Source organism: Homo sapiens, chromosome 13, assembly GCF_000001405.40.
Source record: "Homo sapiens chromosome 13, GRCh38.p14 Primary Assembly".
Lineage (NCBI taxonomy): Eukaryota > Metazoa > Chordata > Mammalia > Primates > Hominidae > Homo > Homo sapiens.
In genome coordinates, this window is record NC_000013.11 from 85,783,016 (window position 1) to 85,800,877 (window position 17,862).

Below are 17,862 nucleotides of genomic sequence, written 5' to 3' on the forward strand. Positions count from 1 at the left end.
AAAATTCCATATGAAATTTCACATGGTATTTTCCCTGCATGTCTTTGTAGGTCTTCTTATAAGAAAATAAGTCGATGGATTTAGGACCTTCTATAATTCAGTATAAACTCAACTAATTACATCTGCAAGGCCACTGCCTCCTTATGGATGTGGAAGTAAAATGTCTGTTAATAAAATACATTTTCATTTGTTCCATATTGTTTATATTCTTCTATATGTTTCGGGGATGGAAATTAGTGGAGCTGAAGTAAATCTGTTTTCTGATTCACCATGCAGAAGAAAAAAAAACTGGCATTTTTACTAGGTAAAAGTTACCACAAGAGCAAATAAAAAGAGACAAAATGGTCTTCCTTAAGATCTATAATGAGCTATCATAAAGCAGATAAATAATTATGTAATTACAGTACTTTGGGAAAATGAGGTAGCAGGATTGCATGAGCCTATGAATTTAAGGCTGCAGTGAACTATGTTCGAGCCACTGCTCTCCAGCCAGAGTCACAGAATGAGGCCCTTTCTAAAAAAAAAAAGGAAAAGAAAAATATTAAGGGTAAATTATGTTAGGAAGCAATGTTGGAGTTGAAAACAGAATAGAACTTTCTAACAATTAGTTCTAGTGAGTCCTTAATAGAAGTTAAATTTTGCTGAGTTATTTATAAAATTCATTCACATAGAGTGCCTTGGTGAGTCTTTAATATCATTAAAATATTATTATTCTTATCATTTTACCAACAGCATCCTAAATAAAATTCAGATAATTTAACTACTATTACTAAATGTATTTCTCTTCTCTTTTACAGTAGCACAACTATTTCAAAACTTTCCTAAAAATGCACAAGTAGAGATTATTTTATATATGATAATATACCGTAAAATCAACTCTACAAATGTAAGTTATTTTCTTTGTGAAATAAAAACATGACTCATACAGATTTAATAAGCTGATAAGATCACAATATGGATGAATATATTGATAAGGTCACAATATGGATTTATTTCCTCTCAGTTACCTCCTGCCTCTGAAGCTAATGTTCTGTCCATATAATCCCAGTATCATATAAAATAGTTTTGTAGGGAGAAATGGTTGACTTAAATTGACACTAGACTTGATGATCTTAGAGTACTCATTCACTTAAAGATATTATTTTATGATTACATTACAATTTAGAAATATAGTTACTAGATTGACGAATCATCAGTGATCCAGATACATCTTAAATAAGGTAACTTTTTAGTCTGTTGATGCAAGCAAGAAATAGTACATTGGCTGAAAATTGGTGAAACACTAAAGTACAAGAACAGGATTCAGAAAGCTTTTAAAATGTGATGATCCAGTGATCCAAGGTTGGCTCTACTAGGCACATGTTTCCTAACTGAATTATTCTTATCAAACTTATCTCTTGTAGAATTATGTCAAGTAAGATTTGGAGATTGAGTTTATGATATGAGTATAAACAGCCTATGGCTGACTCTTGCCTATGTATTTTCTTTATATTCTGGAAATGGCTTCTTTATTACTTTATCTGAAATGCTACCTATTGAAGCTTCTGATTTTCAATTTTTCAATTACTCAATCTTCTAAAACAGGGGTGTCCAATCTTTCGGCTTCCCTGTGCCACGTTGGAAGAAGAAGGATTGTCTTGGGCCACACATAAAGCACACTAACACTAACAATAGCTGATGAGCTAAAAAAATTGCAAAAAAATTTCACAATGTTTTGAGAATTTTACAAATTTGTGTTGGACCTGAGCCTCAAAGCTGTCATGAGCCTCATGTGGCCGGGGGCCACAGGTTGGACAACCTTGTTCTAAAACATTCAGCTTAGTGTGGCTGAAACCAAGTTAAAACCAACTTTTGTTCTGTGTTATTATGTTTTGTTTGTTTGTTTGGAGATGACCACAACAAGGCTAAGAGTAAGAGTGATTCACTTAAGAGAATAAAGGGTAAGTGCATGGCCCAAGGGACTAGAGAGGTTGATTTCTTGTGGTGCTCTGGCCAGCATTGGCTGTAGAAGGTTAACATGATGCCCAGGGGGAAATAAACACCAAAGAAGCAAAAGGGCCATGAATGCAAGGAAGCAAGAACCAAAAGACCACCTTTATCTCCTCTTAACTGCCAGCTTACCATTCTTTAATTATAACTTCTTACAAGTTGATCTCTACAAATTCTTCCTACTTCATTTTCCTTTGTTTTAATGCCACTTAGAAAATTTTCCATGAGGATTGCTGAGTCTGCCATGGACAAGTAGGTAGATAAGTTTTAGCATTCCTGCCCCTTCAAAGGCAGACAGTGAGTGAAAGATTTCAGCTTACACGAGCGGCAGCATCTACTTTCACACTGTGTGGGAGAGTAATATAAAGGTGGAGCCTACATACCCTTGTGACCAGCAAGTGTATTATGCATGCCATTGGCTGTCACTACACAGCAGCGAAGACAGAGCAGAGCTGTGAGTATTTGTACAGAGTAATGTTAGGGCACACTGAAAAAATGTGACCTCTTTCTTAATGAAAGTATAAGAGCATTGCCTAGAGTAGGCTTTACAGATGTGTCTGTATCAAAAGAGAACAGGCAGCTGAGTTAAAATTCCAAAGCATTGGCTGGGCGTGGTGGCTCATGCCTGTAATCCCAGCTCTTTGGGATGCCCAGGCTGGCAGATCTTGAGATCAGGAGTTTGAGACCAGCCTGACCAACATGGTGAAATCCCATCTCTACTAAAAATACAAAAATTAGCTGGGCGTGGAGGCATGCGCCTGTAATCCAGCTACCCAGGAGGCTGAGGCAGGAGAATCACTTGAACCCGAGAAGCGTAGGCTGCAGTGAGCTGAGATTGCACCACTGCACTCTAGCCTGGGCAACAGAGTAAGACTCCATCTCAAAAAAAAAAGTCCAAACCATTAGGAATTATATGTTTCAAATTAAAGCAAACTTTATGAAGCATACATTATATTGTTAATTTTCAATTGCTTAAATTGATTAATTCAAAATTAGTCAAATGTATTCCTTACTTTGTTTTCATAACTATCGTTAATATGATGTTCCAAGTCTGTATTTGGATAAAGAGTCATTATTAAAGCACCTCAGTGGTGTCTAAAATGCAAAAGTTTCTCACTAAATATTTATTTCAAATTAAATAAAATCTAAAACATGGATAATTCAGACATGCAAAATATCAAAGATTACTTTTTATAGTGATCATAGGTTTAATACATAATTAGAAGCTAAAATAAACATATCCGAAATTAAAACAATATGATAACTGTGAGGTAAGTGTCCAATGTTTGAAAATGAGAACGTGGTATTTGCTTCGATCAAATAAGTAATATTCAAGTTTTAAAACACTTTCCTAAAATCATTGTGACATGAAGGCTGATAAGCCAATAGAAGCAAGAATTTTCCAAGTCAGGAAATCTGAGCTTGTCCATTACTATGTGTGTGATTCTGGGCAGTTTAAATTTCTGAGCCTCATTATCTTTATTGGGAATAGCAGTATTACCTGCAGCTTTTATATCAGGATGAAACTAACTATATGCAAACCATCTACTACTGGGTATAGGTGCTTGGTAGGCAAACACTAAGTTTAACTTTCTATAAATATCATTAATGGAAACTAGTATATAATGCAGGCCTTAAAAAAAGACCACAGCTAAGAAGGCTCCTACTAGGCTCATTGTTTTACGTTCATACTCCACAGTCTTATAGATAATTCAGGCCCAACGATAGTAATCTTTATCATTTGGCAAAATTCTATCTTTTATATGTTATGGTCCCTCAAACATGCAGTAATGTGTAGCATTAATGGACATCAAGTATTAAATGTAAAGGCTAAAATGAAATATATTGTAAATAAATAAATTATTTTTAAATTGTAGGTGATTTTAAAAAATCTTTCATATATTGTCTTTTCAAGAAACAGTGGTGGAACAAGTGGGCATTTACGTGCAAATAAATGATCTAGATACAGACCTTACAACCTTCACAAAAATTAAATCAAAATGGATCATATACCTCAATGTAAAATGCAAAACAAAAATTCTGAGAAGATAACATAGAAAATCTAGATGATCTTGGGCATGGAGATGACTTTATACAGGTACCACCAAAGGCACTATTTTAAAAAAACATTATACACTAGACTTAATTAAAATTAAAAACTTCTGCTCTGTAAATGACACTGTCAAGCAAATGGGAAAACAAGCCATAGACTGGCATAGAATAAGTACAAAACAAAACAAATCTAATAAAAGATTTTTACCTAAATTATACAAAGAACTCTTAAAATTCAACAAAAAGAAAATGAACATTTGGATAAAAAAGAGGGAAAGACCTAAACAGATAACCTCAGCAAAGAAGGTATATGTATGGCCATAAATATATGGAAAGATGATCCACATTACATGTCATCAGGGAAATGTAAATTAAGACAACAATGAGATAAAATTAGAATGGTCAAAAGTCAGACAACTGACAACACCAAGAGCTGATGAGGATGTGGAACAACAATTCTTCATTCATTGTTGGTGGGAATGCAAAATTGTGCAGCCACTTTAGTAGACGGTTAGTTGCTTAGAAAGCAAAACACAGACTTATTATGATATGCAATCCAGCAATCACGTTCCTTGGTATTATTTACCCAAATGTGTTGAAAATGCATATCCGTGCAAAAATCTCCACACAAAATGCTTATAGCAGCTTTATTTATATTTGTCAAATCTTGGAAGAAACCAAGAATTTCTTTAGTAAGTAAATGGGTAAATAAGTTGTGGTACGTCATGGAATATTATTCAGTGCCCAGGAAGAAATGAGCTGTCAAGAAATGAAAGGACATTGAGGAATCTTTAATGTGTATTACTGAGTGAAAGAAGCCAGTTTGAAAAGGATATATATTATGATTCCAACTCTATGACATTCTAGAAAACACAAAACTATCACAGCAGTAAAAAGATCAATAACTAGACAAAGCTCAGGCAGTTTTTAGGACAGTGACACCATTCTACAGAATACTACAATTGTGGGGACATTGGTCAAAACCCACAGAATATAGAAAAATGAACACTAACGTAAACAGTTCACTTTGGGTGATAATAATGTGTAAAAGTAGGTTCATTAATTATAACAAATGCACCAGCTTGTTGCTAGATATTGATAGCTGGGGAGGCTGTGCTTGTGTGGGAACAAGGGATATATGGCAACTCTGTACTTTTTAGTCAACTTTGCTGTGAACCCAAAACTGCTCTAAAAAATAAAGTCCATTTAAAAGGGAACAAAATTCCTCACACTATATGGGTGTCTCTTTAGGATTCAAATGACACATTCATTGAGATAGTAATCTTTAACTTACAAGCTGCACCATGAAAACAAAGGTTACTACAGTCAGATATCTTAAAACATTAAAACATGAAAATATCTGTCACCATAATCTTTGTGTATATGATAATTCTAATAACACTTAAATCACATATTGTTTATAGAAGTTTTAAATTAATGTATTATCATTAGAACTGTCTGTATGTTAACTACTTTGTCAATATTTTATTCTATGAAATAAAACAAATTCCTAAAAGTTGGTATTGATAAATAGTAAATAAGTATTCAGAATTAGAAAAAAGAAACCAAACAATGACTTTCTGGTTGCCAGATGTACATGTTGTTCAGTCTGATAAATCAGTCAGCATTTGTAAAGCTGTATCTAAAATCTGCTAATATATCATTCTGAATAATCTAGAATTAGGTACTCCATGACTAAAGTTAGTGAAGTGTCTCCATTTTTTTCAATAAGATGTTAAAAACTCACAGTGTCCTACCTAAACATAGAAGCAGCGTGTGCACAATGGCAAAACGTACGTTTTCTGTGATTTCACATGCCCTGTAAATATGTTTGATTATAACAAGAGTCTGATGAGGACCACTGCCCTGAGAATAAAGCAAAACAATGTAAATTAACAGCATCAATCAAACAGGGTTCCAATTCTGGCCTTGTTACTCTCACTACTTATATAGTGCTAGGCAAACCCCTTAGCTCCTTCATTTTCTAAAAGAGAAAGTTAGAATTGATAAAGTTTATGATGTGCTTATATCTAGGAATTGTGTTTGCTGTATCACAGTGCATTGTTTTCTTCAAATATATATTCGTTAAACCAAAGTACTTCGGAATGCTAGGAACAGGCCCAAATTGTGTCCATGGAAAACTTACTGGATGAAACCATACGTAGCATTTAAACTGATCTGATTTTTGAGGATCAGAACTCCTTTGAACCCTAATGTTAACTTTCTTCTACTATGTATTGCTATATTAACATATGGCATTATTTATTATGCAAAGACAATAACAAGGGCTTATAAGTCTTTTGATTACTTACAACACCAAGGAAATGGATGAAAATACACTTAACATACATTCACTAATGGTGATTTCATCACTGATAACAATATGAGTTTAAAATAAATCAAGTTCATTTTGGCAAGAATGATTATTTTTGTGTGTAGTGTCTCTTCAAGACTTCTATAAAACCAAATACAATGAAATGCCATTTCAATGCCCAGAAATTTTCTACAAGACAAGCAATTCAAAATACCTTACTCATTATATAATCCATTTTCTCACTGGTAGAACCTAAGAGATGTGAAGAGGCAAATAATTACCTGTGGAAGGTCAGGTCTTCCTGCTCTTCCTGTTTCAAAATTCTAAACCAAAAGTACTCTTTTTAGAAAGTGTACAATTTTAAATAATTTAAATTGGAAATACGTGAACCTGTGTGTGTGTAAATTGTTGTTTTGAATTGTTTCCTTTCTTCATTCACTAATCTGCTGAAAGACATTTACTAACAGAAGAGTATTTGTCTATTTGATTTTGCTTTCAAAGCAGCTAGAAGAGGATTTTACATCTGGCAGTCTTCTTTATGTTACCTATACATAAGAATTAATGCAAATATAATAAATAAAATTTGCCTTTTAAAAAAAGCTAGTTGTAAGACAGATAATGTTTTTTTCCAAAAAATATTTGGTTGTTAAATAATATAATTATCAATGTGATCATTCTTGATGTGGCTGCCAGATATAAGACCACTCCTCCTGAGAAAGTCTTTTAATTGTGTCTTATTTTACAATAAAAGCTTGTCCTTTTATGATACCCCAACTTCTTCATAGAAGTGCTCTACAGGGAAAAGAAATAGAGAAGAACCCTCAAATTCACTGTAAAACCATTTCTTAACTACCAGGAGATTCAGCCTTCCCTTCCCAAATAGTTACCACCTGTATACACATGGGCAATTTTCTTTTTATGTAGAAAACAATCTCCTAAAATAATCTTGCAGAAACTCATATATGGGGAACCTTGGTGAGCTGTCTTTGGATATTTGTGTTGATTTTTATTAAAAAATAAACAGTTTATGGCAAAACAATTATTCAAGTTGGTAGTATTCCTCTTCTTAAAAAGTGCTGTTGATTACATAGTTATTAGCTATCATAAAATAATGAGAAATGCAAAATAAATTACAGGTATATTGAGATGACTTACCACATCTTTATTAGGTCTCTCTCTCTCTCTCACCTGTTTTTGTATGTGTGTGTGTGTGTGTTTGTACATACATATACATATAATATATGGAAGGGCATAAAGGAAGAGAATAAACCATTATTTTTAAAAGTGTCATTTTAATGACAAAGGGATGCTCGTGTCACATTCTTTAATCCTGAATCAAGGATTAAGCATTTTTAATTAATTGGGCAAAGGCATTCAGGCAGCTTAAGGCAGCTTAGATAGTGCTGCAGTTTATTTAATATTATAGCAGCAGGGAAGGGCTTTCTCTCCTCCATGATATAAGAGATTCTTTCAAAGAGGGTAACATCACTGATATAATTCTTTCTTATAGAGAGGAAAATTTCCATCCCATTGATGGAGATAAATGAAAGATATCAGAAGAACACTTTTATAACTTTACAGTAAGTAATTTCATGTAATTTAGTAAAAAATGGTTTGTTAAATAAGTATTAATACAACCAATATCAAATAAATTGACTTATATTAAAAAGATTTATCCAGGATGATTATACACTACTACCACTATATTACAAAATTTCATTTTTTGGACATGAGTCATAAATTGCATTGATGTGCAGTGGGCAAAATGTAACTTCTGTTTAAATCAAGAAGCAAAGCTAAGATAATTAAAAGTCTACTTTTTTTTTTTTTAATGGCCAGGTTCAGGTGAATAACGCTGAGGATACTGAAAGAGGAATTGGAATTCTGAATCTGTCAATTAGCTGCTGAAAGAGACCAAATTGATTGCTTAAGTGAACAATCAAACAAGGAGTATAATAAAAGTTATTCTTTAGTGGGAAGGAGAAGAAATTGGAAATTCAGGTCAAATAATCAAAGTTCTGAGAAAGTCTCATAGATCCCAAAGAATTAGAGACCATCATTACCTTTCTCAACTCTCAACAACCAGTAGGAAAACAAATTCCACAAAGAGTCGTGAATGAAACATTTAAACCGTTAAAATCTCTTGTTTTTGGAAACGATTGTAATTTCCATGTCAGTTTTAAGTTACATTCAGAATAAGGATTGTACTTTGATTTTGGGGATATACTTACATGGCTTCTTAAACAACTTTGTTCCTCTTCATTATAAGTTAAAGAGTGAACATTATTACTTTAGGCAATTAACGACAAATAAAGATTAAAGAAATATTTCCCCCATCCCAAAGAAAAGAATGTTCTTGAGGGCATGTCTCTGTCTGCATTCATAGATCCCTTCCAAGCGTTCTCCAGGCATTGGAATATCTTAAGTCTTCCTAATACCTCTATGTACCTGATCAGAATTAGAAAATATTGGCAGATACTGGACTGAGTAAAAGAAGGGCAATAACATGAATTCTGGCCTTTATTTGTTCTTCTCTTGAGAATGTAATTTTTAAAATAATGTTTTGGAGATTTTACTATTTACCATGCTGAATATTTTTTAGTAGATAAACATCCAGCATTTCATATGCACACACATTTTCCCTTAGAAATTATTATTTAAAGAATTTCCACCTTTATGCTTCCAAACTTTGGAAGCTAATGAAGAAATGTTGGTTTTCAATAAACCTTTTAATACATAACTCTTGATTGATTTTCATTAATATCTACAATAACTTAAAGAAAAAAGCTCATGATATGATTTTACATTACTTATAGTCTTCATACTATGCAGCACAGCCCATATTGTTTTTATCAACAAGAAGGCTTCTTATTAAAAATAAAATAAATAATGTATATTCTGCCATTAGTGCAAAGTTGGATATTAAAAGCCAAAATATTTAATAGACCATTTAAGAATCACTGAAATATTGTGGAGTAAATTGAAGGGAGTACTTCCTTATGGAAAATGTGTTCCTTCATAGCCCAGTACATGACTCTGTGTGGTGTTCAGAAAACATTCCCAGATTACCTTGACTAATTTCACTTTGCCTTGTGAAAGTGTGCAGGTATGATTGATTCTATAATTAGAAACGATAGAAATAAAACATTTCCTTTTACGTTGCATTAGAAAATGATTTGCTTGAAAGGGAAAACTGCTAGACATACTTTAAATTTGGCTCCCTGTTAAGCATACCAAAAATCAAATAGTCTTTTTCACAACATGAACAAGATACTTCTGTGTGTAAACAACAAATAGAAACCTCCTGCAGTGTGTGTGTGTGTGTGTCTGTATGTTTGTGTGTATGTGTGTTAATCCTTACTTGATTGCATGACAAGTAAAGCTTGTCGTGCATTTAAGAAAGCACATTTAAAAAAGAGTTTTCATTTTAGTTTTATTGTAGTGAGTAGTATTTTTAATTTTCTTGAAAGGCACCCAAGAATAATTACTTTTGTGAACCAAAACTATATAAAACTGTACAGAATAAATATTTCATAGAAATCTAACTATGCCTTCTTGTAAAATAAAGCTACATTGTCCCTCTCTTGAGGCAACTTAAACCACTTACCTTTAGAAGTGCCTTTTGCTACTGATTTATGGCATCTATCAATGTACATCAATAAAAATAAAATAATTTTTCCTATTTACTTTACAACTGTGAATTACTTGCCACAAGAAATGTATTTCTATTATGGTCATTCAGATTTACAAAGAATTAAGCCTATGAAATAAAGCAAACCCAATATATTCTCTAGTCATATTTACAGCAGAATCTCAGTAGCATTTTTAAAATATCCCAAGAAGAAGAATTAAACTTTGAGCATAAATGACATACTTTAGTTCACAGCAGCACTGACATTAAAATTGTCTACACAAAATGTGTAGAAAACCCAAAAAGTATGCTTATTTCTTCCACCTGAACTATTAATCATTTTAACTTTTTAATTTAGAATGCATGAGAGTGGCATTTGTTTAAGCTCAAATGTTCAAAGTTTTGAGCCACCCATGGCCTATATAATTGCAACCTTTCTATTTTTTCTTCACTATTACTATTTATAATTGTCAAGTTCCAGTTTCTTTTGCATTTATTGCAAGAAAGTTAGGTATGTTTGACAATACACATTTTTGAAGTACATACTGGTTATAAACAATGTATTCCTTACATATTATAACTACATATACAAGTATGGTTTTTAAATGATGAAATCCAATTGTAATTAATCTATAGGGAAAGCAATTCAAGAAAATTCGGGATACTTAAATGTTCAGCCTTTTTAGATGTGCAAGAGGACTCCTATGAGACACTTTTCAGTATATGAAATATTACTATAATCCTTGAATGATTTACATGCAAGGATTTATTTTATTTGGGACAGACTAAATTGCCTGAAGATAATGCCATGGCTTCTCCCAGTGATCCCTGAGTTTCTTTTTCTTCTTCTTTTTTTTTCCCCATAGTTTACTGCTGTGCTTAGGTTCTGATTGATGACACACTCACGTAAGGCACTTATTTACAAGGTATGGACTTAAAACAGAATCACAGCATTTCTGCGAAAGCCCTCAAACTCTCCATCTATGTTTGCTGCTCCAGGACTTCTAAATAGTCAGGTTCAGCATGTAAATTAGCTTTAAGTTCAAAATACTCATTTTTTGTCTGTTCCACTAATACCTTCCTTGGACGTGAGTACATTAATGTTTCCATTAACTTCAGCTCTTCGTGGGCTCCAGGATAATGTGCCTCCATATCAGGCTGGAGCTGAGCAATGTTTTTCCTTAGGTATTCTGTGATTCCCAGTTGCTGAAGTTCCCTTTCTTTTTCTAAAATGTTTCTGTACAATGAGCTGGCATCTTGGAAGGATAAAAATTCTGTTGATTGGTTCGTGGTTTTGTATTTCATATTTGACCCTGTGAGTGGTGAATGATTTTCCTGTTCCAAAAGACTTCTTTGGAGATGTTTTGCATCACTTCCTTCTTTCTCATTCCTCTCTTCTTCCTCTTCCAGATGCTTTGGACCAAAGGATGGACTTCTATAGACATGAACCATGGGGCTCACCATGTGCTGTTCATAGAGTGAGGCAGAGGGTCTTTCAGTAGTGTGATGAGTGGTTTTATGGCCATACATGCTGTACTGAAGATGCACAGGACTGTTGTCTCTCATTTGCTCATCTACTTGTTTCTTTTTGTATCTTCTCCTGCGGTGAAGAACAAGAACCACTATCCCTGCAGCACAGAAAACAATAGTGATGAACATAATCAGAAGTCCCAATATTAGAACAGACAGTGGCACAGCGTCCGTAAGAGATCGTAAAATAGTATCAGCCGTATTTGTTGTTGTTGCAGGAGTGGTGACCATAAGGTAACTAGTCTGTGTTGGCATGGATGGGTTATTTACTAAACCTGGACAGAGAATTTCACTATTTAGGGCTTTCAATTCCTTTTTGTCGAGATGCCCGGGGGAAGTGCAGAGGATGTCATCTGTCACTGTGTTCTTGCTTAACTTTTGTATCCATTGCTGCAGTCCAACCAGGTCACAGGAGCAGTCCCAGGGGTTATCCTCAAGGTCAATCTGGGTTAGCAAATCAAGATCATCCAAAATATTACTTACAGGTAGATGGGTAAACTGGTTTGTTTTAAGATTTACCTTAGTTAGAGGAACCCCTGAAAAAATATGTGGTGGTAAAACTTGGAGGAGGTTGTTATTTAAATACAGGACTTTAAGTTTAGGCATTGGATTAAAGGTTCCTGGCAGTATTTCCTTAATGGCATTGTATTCAAGATATAAGTATTCAAGATTATGGAGACCAAGGAACATGCCTTTACTTAATTTGGTCAGGTGGTTACCATTTAGATAGAGTTTTTGTAATCTCGTTAGGTTCATAAACGATCCTTCTTCAAGAACTTCAATACGATTGTTTCCCAAGTGAAGCATTTCCAAAGTGAAATATTCCACTAGATCAGACTTCATTAAACTGTGAATAATATTTCCCGCTAGAATGAGCTTTCTAGGATTTTGCGGAGGAGGTCTCAGATCTGATAAGCTTTCAATGTTGCGCTCCTGACAATGTATTAGAAGTCCTGATGGGGATAGGACTTTGCAGTTACAAGGAATAGGGCAGTAAGGTCCTGGAAGTTGAGTGGATGGCTTTGTAATATAAGGTATCAAACCTGGTGCTTTGGTGGGTAGTTTTAGAATGGACGTGGTCTTAGTTGACATGCGACTATCATTTATTGAAGATGTTGCTGCCAGATGTAATGATCCTGAAGGATCCTCATGTTCTTCATACACTGGTGGAGTAGGGCAAATAGATTCCTTCTTTAGTCTACTGAGTATACTTCCTTTAAAAAATGGAGGGCTGTTGCAGACAACATCACCAATTATAGACTGTGGAGGCATGTTCTCCAACCAAGTTTTTAACTGCAATAAGTCACAATTGCAGGCCCATTTGTTGTCCTCCAACTGAAGATCCAATATTCGGCCAATGTGTTCGAGAAAACCAACATAAGGCAATGTTTGTAATTGATTTCCACGAAGATCTAGATGGGTTAAAGGAACAAATCGGAAGATGTTTGGAGGAAGACTCTCAATAGCATTGTCATTTAAAATTAACACTTTGAGTCTGTTGAGCTTGCTAAAGGCACTTGGTTCAATCACTGTGATAAAATTGTTATCTGCTTGCAGGAATTCCAGGTTTTCCAGTCCATGGAAAGTATCCTCTTTAAGAATTTCTAAAGAATTGTGATTGATATGAAGTTGTTTCAGGAGGCCAAGGCCATTAAATGCACCTATCTCAATATCTGCAATATTGTTAAATCCAAGGTGTATTGAAATAGCATTGGTAAGCCCAGAAAAGTCATTTGTGTGAAGCATCGTCAAGCCGTTATTTAATAAGCTTAGTTGGAAAGGTCGTGATGGTGGCACACTTATTTCAGATACCATCTTGATACCTTTTGCTTCACAATTTATTAGCATTGTGCCATCTTTTTCCTCACAATTGCAAAGAGAATCACAAGAGCCTCTGGATGAGAGCACTGGAGTTTGGGAGTGTAAAGATATACAGGCAAGGAGAGATGAATAAAAGAGATGAATCCACAGCTTCATGTTGTCATGTGATGAAATCCGATTCTGTAAAATAAAACGCAATAGCAAGGGACTTTAGTGGGCAGAACTGGGGAGGAGATGAAGCTGATATTTTCAAAATAATAGGTTTTTCTCCAAAAAGCAAATGACGGATTACCATGAAAATATGGGTACCTTGCTGCATTTACATCATTTGTTTCTTTTTTTTTTTTCCTAATACTCAGACAGGCAAGTCTGGCTGACTTTTAACTTGCATTGTGTTCAAAATATAAAATTTAGGTCAAGGGGGATTTAAAATATTATATCATAAAATTTGTGCTCACATCTGATGAATAACCTGCATTTTAACAGATGAGAGAGATGCTGCCTTAGAGCACTGATACTTCACTGTGATGCAAAGTTATATATTTGAAAATATTTTTTAACCTTATGGTCATACATTTAAGGCTGGAGGATTATAGTAAAAGACAATTACATAGTTATTAGCCGTAAGCATAGAGAACTGTAGGGAATGTAAAAAATGATAAAAGAATGTATGTGTGCATATGTGTATGTGTGTATGCATGTACGCATGTAGCATGCATTGTCTTTATATTGTTGAACTGGGTGTCACACAATAACATCTAATAACTGTGTCTGTGTTTTAACCTGCTTCGGTTTTGGCTATATATATATATATATACTAATTTTATTGTTTATTTTGAAAACCTTGAGGAAAATGCGTCTTTGATCATGTTATAAAGTACAGTACTATAAGAACTCTTTTAACTATTCAATCAAGGGTAGTTTGTATAAGCGTAATAGTATCAGATACATACACTTAAGTGTGACCATTCAAATTTCACTTAAATCATTATATTTAATATTGAATTTCTAGAAGCAGTATATTGCTTACTGCTTCTTAATTACGTTATAGATGAGGTGGAAATGATAAAAACTAAAGAAGCAAGATTAATCTTTAACACACATTTCAGGCTGTTGTAAAAGAATAAACAATGCTTCATATAAACTTCTAGCAAATGACTTCCTAATGAGGTCTTGAAACAGTCTTTAGGGCACGGAATGTCATCACATAATTAAGCAGCTTTAAGCCTTTATTAAAAGGCTTAAAGTCGCAAACAATGAAATCTGAAACAAACTGTACCATATTAAACTTTTTGATGATATTTCAAATTCAGTAAAAGAAAAAAAGGATGGTTCAGAATAACATCACGTATTCTAATCCTGAAACACATAACAAATGCATCTGAAACAGCAATTCTTAAAAAGGTTTTGCCCTTTAAATGACAGTTATGCAAGGTAAACATTTATAGCTCTAATGAGATCTAATTTTATTTCCTTCCTTTAAATATTATACTTTAAACTTATATAAACTAAATTGAAATATAAACACATCTTATGACTATTCAACTTTTCAAAATAGTAATCAGTTTTCATTTTTGTTGTTTGAAATATGAACAGTAACTGAATCAAATTAAAATTCACAATCAGGTAAAACATACCAGAACCCAATCAACAATCCTGAAAGTAAACTTGCATTCCCTGAAAACATAGTGTTTTATTGAAAACACATATAGTACAAAGTTCCTGAAAGGCAAAAGGCAACTGAAGAAACAAAACAACATACTGCCTCTGTGTAAAGGGAAAGTTAGAAGATTTTATTTTTCTGTAGGTAAATAATTTGATTTTAAACAGCTTTGTGTGCTGAGTTTATAAACAAGCAGCTTGTAGTTGGAGTCTTCAACTTGTGGATTAGCTTCCACAATCACTAAAAGTACTTATTCATAAATTACCAAGAAAGAATAAGATTTATTTCACCAGGTATAGCATCAGAGAAAATAGTAAATAATTTTTCAGTGATAAACTCTTGTTATTTTGTAAATCCTGTATGAATTTTATGCTCTTCAAAACGTGCTAGGAAACAGTTTCTAATCTTTTCAGAAACACACACAGATGTGAAAAGTGGTTCTCTACTGACAATATCTGATACAGTGGTAAAGAGGTCAAAAGATACTCATTGACATGTTTTCTGAGAATACGTATTTTCAAATCAGAAAATAAGTAGCATACAAAATGCAAAGAATTATTCAATATTCTGCTTATATTTGCAATTCAACATTCGCATTTGGAAGTGATCCTTCCTTCAGAAAGCACACATATTTAGTTTCTAACAACAAACTGCATGTTGCAAAAGAAATAGTGGAATATTATATTTGTTCTTCTCTGTAGCCAGCTGTTAGACTAAATGTCTGCTTCTCAGAGAATACAGGCATCTGCTCCAGTGTTAGTTGTGCCAGTAAGCAAGAATGAAATTGAGTATCCTTTAATGCAAAGTTGTTTATTTAAAGGAAGCGAACATACAAATTCAATCACTTTACTATAATGCAAAAATAAGTATAAGAAAAGCCTGGAAACATTCATCTTACCTGTAAAGCAGAGACTCTTCCTGACGTTATCTGTAATGCACAGCTGGAAGAGGTGTTCAAAGTAATTCAATTCCTTTATTAAAAAAAAGAAAACACCAACCACTGCGTACTTTCTTCTCAAATATCACTTTTTGTCAAGTCCCATAGCTTCATAAAGTTAAAACCTCTGGTCAAAGATAGAATACTGAGCATTTCATTGAAAATATTTCAAGCAGAGTGCATACTAGAGCATCCTGAAGCAATTGTCCCTTTTTCCCTCAATTAAAATTCACGGCATACTTCACAGCTATGCTGACTTTTTTGCATATAGTTAACCATTTGCAAGCTGCTGAATGCAGTAAGTAAACAAGATGTTTAACAGAGCTGAGATTGATCACTCTTGCTTTCTTAGGTTGTAGATCCAAGCTACAGCAATGTTCTCCTTCCTCCTTTTCTAGTATTTCTTGTTAGCTCAGTTTGTTATTAGTCAGATTGCCAAGGGCTGGGAGGTAGGCGTAAATAAAGAGACTTCTTGGCTTTTGACTCAGCCTTTAAGCCCTTCCCCATCAGAGCGTTTTAATCTGCCAGTGTCATATAACACAAGAGACAGCTCCACCTTGGGACTGCTCAACTCCTCCTCTTTCTGCAAATGGTCTTTCCACTCCTTTCAATACCAAATATAGTGCAAGTGAATTTTGATGGAAATAATAACACGTCATTTTAAATGCTTAATAGTACATTGTGTTATAGCAAGCTAAATAATACGTTATGTTAAATTCTCAACTAACACTGTTCTGTAGTGTTTGCACACATGTGTGCAGGAAACACAAGAATGCTGCCTATAGAGTAGTTGCCTCTTTTTTTTCTTTTTTTTTTTAAATCTGGTATTTATAGTTGAAATTGTGCACTAACTAGATTGTAAAATGTTAACACGAACTGCTTCCCTGCAATATTTGTATTTTTGTATTCACCATTTAACTTTTTTAAAGCCTTATGTTAGGGACTCTAAGTTTTTACTTCATTATTTCTTTCCCTAGAGCTAATATTCAATAATTAAACTTAGAAATGAAGATCTTTCAGTTATTTTAATATATTTATTTAGAAGAAAAGCATAATTATTTTAAAATATATTTAAAAATCTTTAAACACAAAATAATTATCATTGATAAAGTTCTGTTTATCACTTTCAAAAATATAACATTATATCTTTACAGATAAAATGAAACAAGTGAAATATGTAGATATTACAATAACCTGATTTGTATAGTGCTAGCTCAGAGAGAATTTATTCTTAATAGGTTATATCTTAAAAGTTGCGTGTTTCTTCAGCTCTTAAAAGTTTCTGAATCATCACCATTATTACTCTTGTCAGATTCCTTATTTCTCAAAAAGCCTGTGGTTTAAAAAGTTATTCTTCTTACCTACCTTCCTGAACTTTTTCACATCCAAAGTGCATATACTAGATGCTGTCTTTTATTTGTTTATTCTGTTTAGAATAAATACAGATTCTAGAGGCCTTCTATGTAATAGTAGGTGTCATTTCAGAAAGTGCTGTTTTTAAAAAGGAGAGTTGATATAGTTTAAATCATCAAAATAGAAGAATATCACATTATTATTTAATGACATACACTCAGATTGATATAGTTTTATCGTCTCAGGGTGGTATATTGGCTCTAAACACATAAGGGCTCTGTGGGAATTTTCAGTATTCTCACTTTACTTTATATTTCCCAGTAATTAAGTTTCTCGTTTATTTTAATGACATTTTGTGCTTTAACATGGAAAAGAGATGATGATACAGAGGAGGGGGTTCGAAAATACAATAAAAATAAAAAAATGAGAGAATGAAGAGTATAAGTGAAGTTAAATATAAATAATTAGTGTTTGGCACAATTTCCTGCTAGCTGCTAGCCAAATTAATTAAATCAAGGTAATTATTTAGATAGATAGTTAGAAATTAGAATTTTAATCAATAAAAAAAGAAG

At 33.4% G+C, this 17,862-nt stretch overlaps 1 protein-coding gene across 1 annotated transcript; it reads right to left on the minus strand.

Moving 5' to 3' along the window:
- On the minus strand, positions 9,775–16,404 carry SLITRK6 (SLIT and NTRK like family member 6). The gene is made up of 2 exons (NM_032229.3): positions 15,899–16,404; positions 9,775–13,517 (listed from the first exon to the last, which is right to left on the minus strand). The coding sequence occupies exon 2, from the start codon at positions 13,491–13,493 to the stop codon at positions 10,968–10,970; it is 2,526 nt and encodes an 841-aa protein (NP_115605.2). The 5' UTR covers positions 13,494–13,517; positions 15,899–16,404; the 3' UTR covers positions 9,775–10,967.